The 11920-nt window shown below is 57.2% G+C and overlaps 3 protein-coding genes and 1 long non-coding RNA gene across 12 annotated transcripts, besides 9 other annotated features; 2 read left to right on the forward strand and 2 right to left on the reverse strand.

Moving 5' to 3' along the window:
- On the forward strand, positions 329 to 2802 carry CD68 (CD68 molecule). Of its 2 annotated transcripts, none has more exons than NM_001251.3 (6): positions 329 to 417; positions 501 to 1018; positions 1157 to 1276; positions 1402 to 1474; positions 1587 to 1757; positions 2069 to 2802. In NM_001251.3, exons 1-6 carry the CDS (start codon positions 369 to 371, stop codon positions 2200 to 2202), a joined length of 1065 nt encoding a protein of 354 aa, NP_001242.2. In that variant the 5' UTR covers positions 329 to 368; the 3' UTR covers positions 2203 to 2802. The 2 variants fall into 2 exon arrangements, with proteins under 2 accessions (NP_001242.2, NP_001035148.1); NM_001040059.2 differs by having other exon boundaries at positions 582 to 1018.
- Positions 994 to 1053: an enhancer, noted in NCBI's record as "active region_11634". NCBI's record gives its function as "activates an Ori minimal core promoter by ATAC-STARR-seq in GM12878 lymphoblastoid cells {active_cell/tissue: GM12878}" and the evidence as "EXISTENCE:reporter gene assay evidence [ECO:0000049][PMID:35858748]".
- Positions 1154 to 1223: an enhancer, noted in NCBI's record as "active region_11635". NCBI's record gives its function as "activates an Ori minimal core promoter by ATAC-STARR-seq in GM12878 lymphoblastoid cells {active_cell/tissue: GM12878}" and the evidence as "EXISTENCE:reporter gene assay evidence [ECO:0000049][PMID:35858748]".
- On the reverse strand, positions 2658 to 4783 carry MPDU1-AS1 (MPDU1 antisense RNA 1). 4 transcript variants are annotated; one of them, NR_136403.1, is made up of 2 exons: positions 3591 to 4209; positions 2658 to 2854 (listed from the first exon to the last, which is right to left on the reverse strand). It is a non-coding gene; the product is annotated as an MPDU1 antisense RNA 1 (long non-coding RNA). The 4 variants fall into 4 exon arrangements; NR_136402.2 differs by lacking the exon at positions 3591 to 4209 and adding an exon at positions 4609 to 4783 and having other exon boundaries at positions 2665 to 2854; NR_136401.2 differs by lacking the exon at positions 3591 to 4209 and adding an exon at positions 4609 to 4783 and having other exon boundaries at positions 2665 to 3222.
- Positions 3367 to 4240: an enhancer, noted in NCBI's record as "NANOG-H3K27ac-H3K4me1 hESC enhancer chr17:7485994-7486867 (GRCh37/hg19 assembly coordinates)". NCBI's record gives its function as "activates a minimal SCP1, AML or CMV promoter by ChIP-STARR-seq in primed H9 embryonic stem cells {active_cell/tissue: H9 hESC(primed)}" and the evidence as "EXISTENCE:reporter gene assay evidence [ECO:0000049][PMID:30033119]".
- Positions 3367 to 4241: a biological region, named in NCBI's record as "NANOG-H3K27ac-H3K4me1 hESC enhancer GRCh37_chr17:7485994-7486867".
- Positions 4192 to 4241: an enhancer, noted in NCBI's record as "active region_11636". NCBI's record gives its function as "activates an Ori minimal core promoter by ATAC-STARR-seq in GM12878 lymphoblastoid cells {active_cell/tissue: GM12878}" and the evidence as "EXISTENCE:reporter gene assay evidence [ECO:0000049][PMID:35858748]".
- Positions 4241 to 5115: an enhancer, noted in NCBI's record as "NANOG-H3K27ac-H3K4me1 hESC enhancer chr17:7486868-7487742 (GRCh37/hg19 assembly coordinates)". NCBI's record gives its function as "activates a minimal SCP1, AML or CMV promoter by ChIP-STARR-seq in primed H9 embryonic stem cells {active_cell/tissue: H9 hESC(primed)}" and the evidence as "EXISTENCE:reporter gene assay evidence [ECO:0000049][PMID:30033119]".
- MPDU1 (mannose-P-dolichol utilization defect 1) lies at positions 4338 to 8903 on the forward strand. Of its 5 annotated transcripts, none has more exons than NR_024603.1 (7): positions 4338 to 4656; positions 6423 to 6488; positions 6642 to 6769; positions 7383 to 7468; positions 7590 to 7708; positions 7852 to 7962; positions 8117 to 8903. NR_024603.1 is itself a non-coding variant. In NM_004870.4 (7 exons), exons 1-7 carry the CDS (start codon positions 4554 to 4556, stop codon positions 8240 to 8242), a joined length of 744 nt encoding a protein of 247 aa, NP_004861.2. In that variant the 5' UTR covers positions 4543 to 4553; the 3' UTR covers positions 8243 to 8903. The 5 variants fall into 5 exon arrangements, 4 of the variants coding, with proteins under 4 accessions (NP_001317002.1, XP_006721661.1, XP_006721660.1 ...); NM_004870.4 differs by having other exon boundaries at positions 4543 to 4656; positions 6637 to 6769; NM_001330073.1 differs by lacking the exon at positions 7590 to 7708 and having other exon boundaries at positions 6637 to 6769; positions 7383 to 7529.
- Positions 4352 to 4881: an enhancer, noted in NCBI's record as "active region_11637". NCBI's record gives its function as "activates an Ori minimal core promoter by ATAC-STARR-seq in GM12878 lymphoblastoid cells {active_cell/tissue: GM12878}" and the evidence as "EXISTENCE:reporter gene assay evidence [ECO:0000049][PMID:35858748]".
- Positions 5116 to 5988: an enhancer, noted in NCBI's record as "NANOG-H3K27ac-H3K4me1 hESC enhancer chr17:7487743-7488615 (GRCh37/hg19 assembly coordinates)". NCBI's record gives its function as "activates a minimal SCP1, AML or CMV promoter by ChIP-STARR-seq in naive H9 embryonic stem cells {active_cell/tissue: H9 hESC(naive)}" and the evidence as "EXISTENCE:reporter gene assay evidence [ECO:0000049][PMID:30033119]".
- Positions 8869 to 10785, reverse strand: SOX15 (SRY-box transcription factor 15). The gene is made up of 2 exons (NM_006942.2): positions 9835 to 10785; positions 8869 to 9237 (listed from the first exon to the last, which is right to left on the reverse strand). The coding sequence occupies exons 1-2, from the start codon at positions 10365 to 10367 to the stop codon at positions 9069 to 9071; spliced, it is 702 nt and encodes a 233-aa protein (NP_008873.1). The 5' UTR covers positions 10368 to 10785; the 3' UTR covers positions 8869 to 9068.
- Positions 9929 to 10503: an enhancer, noted in NCBI's record as "H3K27ac-H3K4me1 hESC enhancer chr17:7492556-7493130 (GRCh37/hg19 assembly coordinates)". NCBI's record gives its function as "activates a minimal SCP1, AML or CMV promoter by ChIP-STARR-seq in naive H9 embryonic stem cells {active_cell/tissue: H9 hESC(naive)}" and the evidence as "EXISTENCE:reporter gene assay evidence [ECO:0000049][PMID:30033119]".

Raw genomic sequence — 11920 nt, forward strand, 5'->3', positions numbered from 1 at the left:
CACCAAGGGAGGGGCCTGTACCTCAGCTGTTCCCATAGCTACTTGCCACAACTGCCAAGCAAGTTTCGCTGAGTTTGACACATGGATCCCTGTGGATCAACTGCCCTAGGACTCCGTTTGCACCCATGTGACACTGTTGACTTTGCCCTGATGAAGCAGGGCCAACAGTCCCCTAACTTAATTACAAAAACTAATGACTAAGAGAGAGGTGGCTAGAGCTGAGGCCCCTGAGTCAGGCTGTGGGTGGGATCATCTCCAGTACAGGAAGTGAGACTTTCATTTCCTCCTTTCCAAGAGAGGGCTGAGGGAGCAGGGTTGAGCAACTGGTGCAGACAGCCTAGCTGGACTTTGGGTGAGGCGGTTCAGCCATGAGGCTGGCTGTGCTTTTCTCGGGGGCCCTGCTGGGGCTACTGGCAGGTAAGGAGGAAGGAGGCTGAGGGGAGGGGGCCCCTGGGAGGGAGCCTGCCCTGGGTTGCTAACCATCTCCTCTCTGCCAAAAGCCCAGGGGACAGGGAATGACTGTCCTCACAAAAAATCAGCTACTTTGCTGCCATCCTTCACGGTGACACCCACGGTTACAGAGAGCACTGGAACAACCAGCCACAGGACTACCAAGAGCCACAAAACCACCACTCACAGGACAACCACCACAGGCACCACCAGCCACGGACCCACGACTGCCACTCACAACCCCACCACCACCAGCCATGGAAACGTCACAGTTCATCCAACAAGCAATAGCACTGCCACCAGCCAGGGACCCTCAACTGCCACTCACAGTCCTGCCACCACTAGTCATGGAAATGCCACGGTTCATCCAACAAGCAACAGCACTGCCACCAGCCCAGGATTCACCAGTTCTGCCCACCCAGAACCACCTCCACCCTCTCCGAGTCCTAGCCCAACCTCCAAGGAGACCATTGGAGACTACACGTGGACCAATGGTTCCCAGCCCTGTGTCCACCTCCAAGCCCAGATTCAGATTCGAGTCATGTACACAACCCAGGGTGGAGGAGAGGTAAAGCTAAAACTGGGGGATGAGAGGGGAGGGAGGCAGGACTGGATATAGGCTCAGAGGGAAGAAGGAAGAGGGGACAGGGAACCTTGGCCGGCATCGCATGCAGTCTTGTGACCTTCCAGTCTTTAACTTCCGCAGGCCTGGGGCATCTCTGTACTGAACCCCAACAAAACCAAGGTCCAGGGAAGCTGTGAGGGTGCCCATCCCCACCTGCTTCTCTCATTCCCCTATGGACACCTCAGCTTTGGATTCATGCAGGTATAGCCATGACCTCAGTCTCACCCCTCACTCAGCCTCCCGGCGCCCCTCCCCTCCCAATCCCACACGCTACTCCTTCCTCTGTGGAGAGGGATACCACCTGCGCCTTCCTCTTCGCCCCACAGGACCTCCAGCAGAAGGTTGTCTACCTGAGCTACATGGCGGTGGAGTACAATGTGTCCTTCCCCCACGCAGCACGTAAGTAACCTCCTTCCCTTTCTCATTGCTACCACTAGACGCCAGGGTTCCTGAAAGGACTAAGCTGGGGCCAGGGAGGTGGATAGGATCTGACCCTTCCTCACTCCTCCAGAGTGGACATTCTCGGCTCAGAATGCATCCCTTCGAGATCTCCAAGCACCCCTGGGGCAGAGCTTCAGTTGCAGCAACTCGAGCATCATTCTTTCACCAGCTGTCCACCTCGACCTGCTCTCCCTGAGGCTCCAGGCTGCTCAGCTGCCCCACACAGGGGTCTTTGGGCAAAGTAAGACCTACCTACTCCTTCCCTCCTAGAATCCTCCCACTGCACTGAAAACCCCTTCCCCAGGCCCATAAGCCACTCATCTCTCTTCTTAACCCCCCAAATCTCGCTCTCCCAGCTTGTCATGGCTACAGGGCAGCTTTCTTTCCATCCTCTACAAGACTCTGCCAGTTTCCCCCTTTTATCACTGCTGAGTCACTGCGGTGAGCTCCTCACCAATCTCCTACTCCCCAGCATCCCCCCATTCCCTCCTCCCACCTTTATCCCAACCAGCACGTCACTGCAAATACCTACCTGCCCTATCCTTCCGCCAGGTTTCTCCTGCCCCAGTGACCGGTCCATCTTGCTGCCTCTCATCATCGGCCTGATCCTTCTTGGCCTCCTCGCCCTGGTGCTTATTGCTTTCTGCATCATCCGGAGACGCCCATCCGCCTACCAGGCCCTCTGAGCATTTGCTTCAAACCCCAGGGCACTGAGGGGGTTGGGGTGTGGTGGGGGGGTACCCTTATTTCCTCGACACGCAACTGGCTCAAAGACAATGTTATTTTCCTTCCCTTTCTTGAAGAACAAAAAGAAAGCCGGGCATGACGGCTCATGCCTGTAATCCCAGCACTTTGGGAGGCTGAGGCAGGTGGATCACTGGAGGTCAGGAGTTTGAGACCAGCCTGGCCAACATGGTGAAACCCTGTCTCTACTAAAAATACAATTAGCCAGGTGTGGCGGCGTAATCCCAGCTGGCCTGTAATCCCAGCTACTTGGGAGGCTGAGGCAGAACTGCTTGAACCCAGGAGGTGGAGGTTGCAGTGAGCCGTCATCGCGCCACTAAGCCAAGATCGCGCCACTGCACTCCAGCCTGGGCGACAGAGCCAGACTGTCTCAAATAAATAAATATGAGATAATGCAGTCGGGAGAAGGGAGGGAGAGAATTTTATTAAATGTGACGAACTGCCCCCCCCCCCCCCCCAGCAGGAGAGCAGCAAAATTTATGCAAATCTTTGACGGGGTTTTCCTTGTCCTGCCAGGATTAAAAGCCATGAGTTTCTTGTCACATGCCTTTCTATGCCTTCCATGGCTGGGTCTCAGGGAGCCGGAAGCAGCTGCTGAGGAGGGATGAAAATGTCAGTGTGTGACGATGCCTCATGGGTTCACCCCCCAAAGCCTGGCACAGCTGGTGTTGGGTCTGCCGTGCCTCCCTTCCTTCCTCCTCTTGGGGCCACTGGCTGCTCCAGTTCCCCATCCGTGGCAAGCCGGTAGAGCCATTCATCCCCGCAGCCTTCTTCCTGACCCTCGTACAGTTTCAAATGCAGCAGACAGCCAAAGCAATGAGTGGGGGGCTGTGGAACTTCATTCCCAAAGGCAGCGCCAGTGGCTCCTGAGCAATGAGAATGTCCTGTCCTGTCCACCATATTCAAGGCCAGCAGAAGAGCCCGATTAAACCCTCGCAGCACCTGGCATGCTCCTATCCCACCTACAAGGGGTTGAATCAAGAAGGAGCAGTGGGTACTCTGACCTCCACTGGGGGCTCCTGGGAACAGCATGCCCCCCACACGGGGCCACCTGCCAAGCCTAACTTCATGCCCCCAGTACTTGAGATGAGGAGTGTCACTCTCAGGACAGCCAAGGTCCAGATTCCAGAAAGGACCTCCCAGATGGCCACAGCCTGCACCAGCAGTGAGCGCCAGTCCCACCCATTACAGCTGGCTACGGCGCAATCCCTGGGAGCCAGGATGAGCAGCACCCCCCAGCCGTAGGAGCCCCAGGAGGCTTCCGGCCTCCAAGGCCCAGAGACTGCCCCACAAGGGCAGCCCTCACCTGGCAGGGCCCCAGCAGCCCCACCTCTGCCTGCAGACATCCGTGTGACCTTGTAGACTTTGGAGGGGGGCCGCCAAAGGGCTGATCCACAGCGGAATGACGCACGGGTGGGCACCGTGGGTTGGCGTCCCGGCGGTCGGTAACGAAGCACAACGCCCCCACCAGGTAGTCCAAGGTGCCCTTTCCCAAGCAGCGCTGCAGGGTCCACTCGGCCTCGCCGAAGTCTCTGCCCAGCACGTGGTGCGCCCTCGGGCCAGCGGGGAGGGGGCGAATCCCGGGACTGCCTCGCCAGGCCTCGGCTCCCCGGAGACTCTTGGGGGTCTGGGCCCCAAGGGTGATTCAGGTGCTGCCCTTCCCCGACCTGGGCTCGCCTCCCCCACCTCCTCCTCTGCTTCACTGTCCCGGGCCCAGCAGTTGCCGGCGCACTCATGCTCCGAGGCCTGAGCCAACCGGAGGCGAGACAAGCACAGGGCCCTGCGCGCAACCCGGCACCTAAGGAGGCCTGCCCGGTGCAGACTCTCCTGCTCCCACCGGCGCCCTTCCCTCTAGAGACGCTGAGAGAACGGGAGCTAGTAGCGCCCCCACCCAACGCCACCTCGGAGACTCCGGCTCCTTCTCTCTCAACTTCGAACAATACAAAGTGTGCTAGGAGAAGACAAGATGGCGCCCAGCAGGAGGAGCGGAGAAAGGCAGGGGTGTAAATCTGGCTTCCAAACTGGAAGCGTCAACAAAGGCGTGGGAGGTCTAACCGCGCAGGCGTGCAGCTTCGGCAAGCTTTACAATTCCAACAGCGCGTCCAAAACGTGGTCCCTGACTGAGACTTATTTTACGCCACTAGAGTGAGGGTGGGTAGCGTCAGAAAGAGCGGGGCACGGGGCGGGCCAGCTTCGCCGCGGGAAAAGAACGGGAGGCGGAGTGTCCGCAGCGCGCACGCGCAACGAAAGTCAATGGCGGTCTGGAGAGACTGGCGGAAGCTAGCTTTGCAATATGGCGGCCGAGGCGGACGGACCGCTTAAACGGCTGCTCGTGCCGATTCTTTTACCTGAGAAATGCTACGACCAACTTTTCGTTCAGTGGGACTTGCTTCACGGTGAGTTTTATTCAGCATCCGATCCAAGTCCTACTCGAGTGACCGTGGGCCCTTAGTCCAAGCCTTGATCGGCGACTAAGTGACGGCAGTGACTGCCGCCATGCCGAGCTGGACGGAAGTCACTTCTGAGAAGGGCGGAAGTGTCTCGGGCTCCTTAGAGGGAGGACACCATATTAGTGCCAGTGGGGAAGTCACCGGGTGGAATTACTTCTTTGTGGAGTTTGTGCTGTAGCGACAATGAAAAACGAAGAGTCAACTTTTATAAAACAAAATAAAAATTAAGTCAAATCATGCCAACCTTTATTAGATCGCTAGCAGGGTTAAACTTAATTCAAAGCCCCTGATGAATCGGGCCTTCATTGCACCCCCAAAGGCTCCGCCACCCTGATTGCTTTCTTTCCAGCCTCCAGGTTTGCTCATAGTCTGATTTCGGAATAATTTGCCTCCCTTCCTTTTTCTGATTGCGAGACAGCTCCACAAGGGTCACCGTCAGACCGTTTGGGGAGCGTCAGTCTGCCCCTGTCAGTTCATGGTACCTCTCTTGAGCTCGTGGGGCACTTTGTTTTAGCCGCATTCATGACCCGTGAGAGTCAGACTCCCACTAGACCAAGTTCCTTGAGGGGAAGGCTTCAAGGCTAGAGAAGTTGTGGATGGCCAGGGCATAAAAGCAAGCCTTGAAAGGGTAAGGTTTAGTCCCTGAGTAGGGGCCAGGGACAGTCAGAGTGTTCAAGAAAGAGTGGTATGGGGCGGGCACGGTGGCTCACGCCTGTAATCCCAGCACTTTGGGAGGCCGAAGCGGGTGGATCACCTGAGGTCAGGCGTTCGAGACCAGCCTGGCCAATAGGGCGAAACCCCGCCTCTACTAAAAATACAAAAAATTAGCCGGGCGTTGTGGCAGGCGCCTGTAATCCCAGCTACTCGGGAGGCTGAGGCAGGAGAATCGCTTAAACCCGGGAGACAGAGGTTACAGTGAGCCAAGATCGTGCCATTGCACTCCAGCCTGGGCAACAAGAGTGAAACTCCGTCTCAAAATTAAAATAAGAAAAAAAAAATGGTATGAAGACTTGTCTTTGGAGAGAGAAGACATGTGAAATGGGGCACCCATTGGCCCAGAGAAGGGAAATAAAGGATCAGAGAGCTCTTGGGCATTTCTCAGCTTTATATGGGGAAGCAATGGAGAGCCGTGGAGGTCAAGCCAAGTTTGGGTGTTAATTTATAGGGAATGGAAGATTGGATGTGGGGGGTGGTAGGCATCGGAGAAAAGCTGTTTTGGAAAGTAACAGTCTGGGGCCCGGTGCGGTAGCTCGAGCTTATAATCCCAGCACTTTAAGGAGGCTGAGGCAGGTGGATCATCTGAGGTCAGGAGTTCGAGACCAGCCTGGCCAACATGGTGAAACCCTGTCTCTACTAAAAACACAAAAATTAACCGGGCATGGTGGTGTGTGCCTGTAATTCTAGCTACTTGGGAGGCTGAGACAAGAGAATTGCTTGAACCCAAGAGGCAGAGGCTGCAGTGGGCTGAGATTGGGCCACTGCACTCCAGCCTGGGTGACAGAGCAAGACTCTGTCTCCAAAAAAAAAAAAAAGTGTGGTGGTTTGGAGCAGGAAGGACCAGGACTTTCTCACTGCCCTCCGCCTCTCCTCCCCCCAAGACAATGCAAGACCCTGGTGTGGGTAAGGGGGCTCGGGGAGAGCCCACAGGAGCTTCAAGCCCTGGCCTGGGTTTCAGACATCTCCTGTCTGCTTACCCTTTTTTCTCTCCTCAGTCCCCTGCCTCAAGATTCTCCTCAGCAAAGGCCTGGGGCTGGGCATTGTGGCTGGCTCACTTCTAGGTATGTCTCTTATCTTTCTTTCCAGCTGTTGGGTTGGGGTGGAGGTGCTGAGAGGCCATCAACTGTGTGGGTGTTCGTTCTATAGCTGTTGTGTTGCATCCCAAAGAATGGAGAGTCCTCAGTCCTACTTTTCTCATCTTTCCCCTAGTAAAGCTGCCCCAGGTGTTTAAAATCCTGGGAGCCAAGAGTGCTGAAGGGTTGAGTCTCCAGTCTGTAATGCTGGAGCTAGTGGCATTGACTGGGACCATGGTCTACAGCATCACTAACAACTTCCCATTCAGGTGAGGGGCCCACCCTTCCACCCCAAGGGTAATACCCACAACTCTAATGGGGATTAAGGTGAAGGAGGTTACAAGGCAGCAAAGTGGCCGGGCCCAGTGGCTTGCACCTGTAACCCCAGCACTTTGGGAGGCCGAGGCGGGTGGATCACCTGAGGTCAGGAGTTCGAACTGGCCAACATGGTGAAACCCCGTCTCTACTAAAAATACAAAATTAGCTGGGTGTGGTGATGGGCACCTGTAATCCCAGCTACTTGGGAGGCTGAGGCAGGAGAATCACTTGAACCTGGGAGGCAGAGGTTGCAGTGAGCCAAGATTGCGCCACTGCACTCCAGCCTGGGCAACAAGAGCGAAACTCAGTCTTAAAAAAAAAAAAAAGGGACAAGGGGCTAGGAAAGTTTTAAGCCCTTTTAGAAACCTAATCATCACCAGTGGAGGTGATCTTGAGAAGGGGTGAGCATCCCGAGAATGGCCACGATTCAGAATGAGCCAGTCCCGTGTGGGGGCTGTAGAGAAGCGTGATCAGAGCATAGTGTCCCTGGATGGATGGGCTATGGAGGCTTTCCCTGCCTCTTTCTAGGCCCGCCTTTCTTCCTCCCAACTCTTGACTCTGCAGCTCTTGGGGTGAAGCCTTATTCCTGATGCTCCAGACGATCACCATCTGCTTCCTGGTCATGCACTACAGAGGACAGACTGTGAAAGGTGCTGGGGACTTACCCAAGAGCAGGCTGTGTGGTTCCTGGGAACCCTGCTGGGAACTCAGGTCTGGGAAAGCCAAATGATGTGGAGAGATTGACAAGGACTCCTGTCTCCCCACCCCTAGGTGTCGCTTTCCTCGCTTGCTACGGCCTGGTCCTGCTGGTGCTTCTCTCACCTCTGACGCCCTTGACTGTAGTCACCCTGCTCCAGGCCTCCAATGTGCCTGCTGTGGTGGTGGGGAGGGTGGGTACCAGGAGCAAGGGACAAGATGTTGTGGGGGCAGGGTGGGGGGGAAGAGTAGAAGATCAAAGTGTGGGGGTGTTGTACTTGGGGGAGCATGGGAAGAGCTCAGGTGACAGAGCCAAAGGTCTCAACTCCTCCCCTAGCTTCTCCAGGCAGCCACCAACTACCACAACGGGCACACAGGCCAGCTCTCAGCCATCACAGTCTTCCTGCTGTTTGGGGGCTCCCTGGCCCGAATCTTCACTTCCATTCAGGTGAGTGCAACATCTTCCTTCTAGAAGGCACTAAAACCTCGTCTTACTTCTCCCAGCTAAGGGCCAAAGCTGCCCCGTGAGGAACCTTTGTCCATAAGGGAACCTTTCTTGAGCTATGCTGAAGGGTAACCCTGGCTCTGTCTCTTGCAACCAGGAAACCGGAGATCCCCTGATGGCTGGGACCTTTGTGGTCTCCTCTCTCTGCAACGGCCTCATCGCCGCCCAGCTGCTCTTCTACTGGAATGCAAAGCCTCCCCACAAGCAGAAAAAGGCGCAGTAGAGCCAGCTACTGGAGTCATTCCGTTTCCACTCATTCACCCAACCTCAGGGTTCTCCCCATCTGAGCCAGCCTGCTGGTGTGACTTACTCATCCTCCATTCCTCTGCACTTGCAGACTTTCTGAGCCAGGGTTTTCTTTTAGTGGAAACAAATGGTTGATGGATCCAGATCCTTAGAAAAGGAGAGGATGGGGGTAGAGTCTCCCAAGCCAAAATTTTGACATTTGAGTGCTTTCGTAAGCCCTGTACATGTACTATTAATTCAGTCATTCAGCCAAGCCTCCTCCTCTAGCAGCAATTTCCAGCTGTGTAACACTATCCTGGGCAAATGTTTTACCCTGTCCTCCAGCCTCCCTGCTTCCCTTCTGGCCCTGGAAGACTGAGTCTGGACGGCAGAGTGGAGGGACTGGGAGGCTGTGGCTGCCTCCCTCCCTCAGCCCGGCTGGGACTGTCTCCCGGACCCCAGTGCTGGGGTGGGGGAAGGGGGACGGAGAATGACTCAGGCAGGGCCCCAGGGTGGGGTGAGGAGGTTCCTGCTCTGGCAGGTCTAGGCGGAAGGGAGTGGAGATGGGGCTGGTTCCTGCTGCAGTGAGGGGAACAGATGGGACAATAAAGACTGGAGACTCAGTTGAATAATACAAAACTGTTTAATACTACCAAAAATATAATTGTATGTTGTGCGGCTCTCCCTGGCTATCATGGGAGGACTGCAGGCTGCCTCTGAACTGTAGTCCAACAGGAGAAAGGGTTGACAGCCTGGGGTAGGGGATGCTGCTGGATTAAAAAAGGAGGATGAGGCCCGTCCCGTGAGGTCTGCGTCCATGAGGGTTAGAGGTGGGTTAGGGGCATGGGGGCACCAGCAAGGGGAGGGTTGTATGGAGTGGGAGAGCCAGGGGGCAGGTAGTGGGTATAGGTGGGCAGCAGTTCCCCCTGGAGCCTAGGGTCACTCTGAGGGAGGGAGCACGGTGAGGGGGCTTCCAGTTTGCAGTGGGAAGAGCTGCAGAGAGAAACAAGAGGTTAGAGGGCACTTCCCTGGGTTGGAGGTGAGTCTGGCCAGTTCTGGGCAGACAGGGTAGAGCGTGCCACCCACCCAGCCCTGGCTACCCAGCCCGCTGGGCGCAGCAGGCATGGAAGCCGACCCCGGGATGGAGAGCCCGCGGCCCTGTTGGGGCACGCTCGGGAGCGGGCTTGCGTGCTGCACGGCTGTTTTCCTCTTGGGGAGTCAGGCCAGGAAAGGGCAGAATGAGCTCGGCCTCTCCTTGCCCTGGGGGCTGGGAGAGGAAGCTGGGTCACACACAGGCCAGAAGCAGGGGGGAAACGGGGCATCTAACTAGGACACAGTCGCATCCAGGGGTCAGTCACCTGACCCTACAGGGCCCACCACCTTCAGACTGAGATGGAAACGCCCTCTGGGAGAACCCTGATCCGCCCCACCCTACACAGGCCCCGGAGGTACTGGGCCTGCGCCCGCCACACCTTGGCCGCGAGTGGCCTCTGCTTGGGTGGGCTCCCGTCCTCCGGCATCCGCCCCCACCAAGGCTCCAGAAGAGGGGCGCATGGGCCTCCGTCTTCGGCCCGCTTCCCAGGCACTCACCCATAGCTGCCAGGCAGGTAGGCTGTCGAGTAGCTGGGGGGTCTGTACCCAAAGCCTCTGCTCGGTTGGGTGGTCGCGTACCCCGGCCCCCAGAGCGGGCCGCCGCTGGCCAGGTTGCCTCTTCCCTGTCCGCAGCGGGAAGGTCCGGCGCCCGAGCTCTTGGCCTTGCGCCGAGGCCGGTACTTGTAGTCGGGGTAGTCGCGCAGGTGTCGGGCGCGGAGCCGCTTGGCCTCCTCCACGAAGGGCCGCTTCTCGTCCTCGTCCAGCAGCTTCCACTGCGCGCCCAGGCGCTTGGAGATCTCGGAGTTGTGCATCTTGGGGTTCTGCTGCGCCATCTGGCGGCGCTGAGCGGAGCTCCACACCATGAACGCGTTCATCGGCCGCTTCACCTTCTCCAGGGGCAGCGTCCCGGGGGCCGCGGGGCTCCCAGCGCCCTCCCGCTCCTGGGGTCCCGAAGATGAGGAGGCAGCAGCCGTGGCAGCCGGAGGCTCCAGGCTCCAGGCCTGGTCCTGTGAGGAGCCTGGTAGCGCCATGGGTTGGGAGAAGCCTTAAGAGGGCGTCCTGAATGCCCTCCCCTCAACGTGAAGCGTCGATCCTGAAAATGGAAAGGTCTTCCCAGTCTGGAGTCGTTGCCGAGGAACTTGGGTCCTTAAAAAGTGTATTTTATCCCCAAGCCCAGAGCTTAAACCGGAGCCTTTGCTTCCAACCTGTTCGGCACACTTTGGGGAGAGTCGAATGCAAAATCCGCTGTCTGGTGCCCCGGCACTGAAGAGGTGTTCTGAGGCCTACTGACTGGGGGACCCCCGGTCCCTCTCCCCGACCCGCAGCTGCGATCAGACCGACCTTCCGTGGAGGGGGTAAACCATAAACCCCTTTGTGGTCTCCGGAGTTCCGACAGCTGCCAGGCGCGGATAGGCCAGACCTCTCCCACCTGGGCTCAGCGTTTGTGGCAGGCGGGCCAGACCTGGGAACAGCTTTTAAAGACTGACTCCGCCCCTGTCCCTCCCATAAGACTGCACCTCCTTAAGGGCGCCAACATCCTCAGCCCGTAGGTAAACCCAGGTGTCCTGTTTGTCCCAGCCCCCAACACCCTCAGGGTGCCACGCCCCCCGCCCCCCCCACCCAAGACCTGATGTCAGGCCTTCCAGCCCGTTGCTGATTGCCTCCCCTCCCTGAAGCACAGGCAATTTAAAGCCAATTCTTTCCACAATGGGATCAAACACAGGGGGATGAAGTGCCCTCAGGGCCCGAGTTGTGCTGAGAGGAGCTTGGGAGCATCCCGGACCACCACCCCAACCCCTTTCCTGGTGCCTGTTGCTCCTCAAATCCCAGAACTGCCCCTGGGGCAAGAAAGGCCGAGGAGGGAGACCATTTTTGTTTCCTGAGTCATTCCAGCAGGTGCTTGGGCCGTGATTCAACCCCTTTCCCAAGTGAGAAAACTTAAGCCCTCCCAACTCCAGTCCCTAAACCTATATTTCTCCACTGCTATTGAATTATGGCAAGTTTTAGCTTCAGTCGTCCAAGTCATGAGGGGGGAGCCAGGAAACCCAGGACAACTCCCCAAGTTAAGAGGTCTGTGATGCGCATGCCGGAGAAAAAGCCTGGAGCCAGAACAGAACACCACCAAGAAGGCCGGACCCCGGGCTCCAGAGGCTGCTGTGAGGGAACCCTGCTCCCCACTCTGCCCAACGGCCCAGCCCAAGCCCCAGGCCTCAGGTAATCGGATTAAGCAGCCTGCCTTGGCTCTCAGCTTCTACAGGAACAGCTCCAGCTCTGAGCAGCCCTGCCTAGCCTGTGCTGTGACTCAGGGTATAGGAGTGGCCCAACTCCCTCTACCAGCAAACTTGGGGGAGGGGAGAAGCAACAAGGCACAAGCCCCCCTCCTCTGAACCAGGAGGGAGAACCTGGGCCTGGGGAGTTTAGGAATGTCAGGAATTCCCAGAAGTAAGACCATCTTTGGGACAAGAGACAATGAAGAGAAGTCAGATGTGGAGGAACAGAAAACAAGAGCCAGGGGCCAGGGCAGGTCAGTCCTAGAGAAACAAATGGACCAAACTGGGGACAAAGAAGGCACAGGAGCCAGACA

Source organism: Homo sapiens, chromosome 17 (genome assembly GCF_000001405.40).
Source record: "Homo sapiens chromosome 17, GRCh38.p14 Primary Assembly".
In the NCBI taxonomy this organism is placed as follows: Eukaryota; Metazoa; Chordata; class Mammalia; order Primates; family Hominidae; genus Homo; species Homo sapiens.

What these genes read in the sequence shown, in the direction of transcription:
- SOX15 (NM_006942.2), bottom strand. Translation starts at nt 10,367, where the DNA reads ATGGCGCTACCAGGCTCCTCACAGGACCAGGCCTGGAGCCTGGAGCCT. An exon ending in TACCTGCCTGGCAGCTATGG is followed by an intron (nt 9,238 to 9,834) that starts GTGAGTGCCTGG and finishes TTCTCTCTGCAG; the next exon opens with CTCTTCCCACTGCAAACTGG.
- CD68 (NM_001251.3), top strand. Translation starts at nt 369, where the DNA reads ATGAGGCTGGCTGTGCTTTTCTCGGGGGCCCTGCTGGGGCTACTGGCA. An exon ending in TCAGCTTTGGATTCATGCAG is followed by an intron (nt 1,277 to 1,401) that starts GTATAGCCATGA and finishes TTCGCCCCACAG; the next exon opens with GACCTCCAGCAGAAGGTTGT. An exon ending in CACAGGGGTCTTTGGGCAAA is followed by an intron (nt 1,758 to 2,068) that starts GTAAGACCTACC and finishes TCCTTCCGCCAG; the next exon opens with GTTTCTCCTGCCCCAGTGAC.
- MPDU1 (XM_006721597.3), top strand. Translation starts at nt 4,554, where the DNA reads ATGGCGGCCGAGGCGGACGGACCGCTTAAACGGCTGCTCGTGCCGATT. An exon ending in TCAGTGGGACTTGCTTCACG is followed by an intron (nt 4,657 to 6,422) that starts GTGAGTTTTATT and finishes TTCTCTCCTCAG; the next exon opens with TCCCCTGCCTCAAGATTCTC. An exon ending in CAGAGGACAGACTGTGAAAG is followed by an intron (nt 7,469 to 7,851) that starts GTGCTGGGGACT and finishes CTCCTCCCCTAG; the next exon opens with CTTCTCCAGGCAGCCACCAA.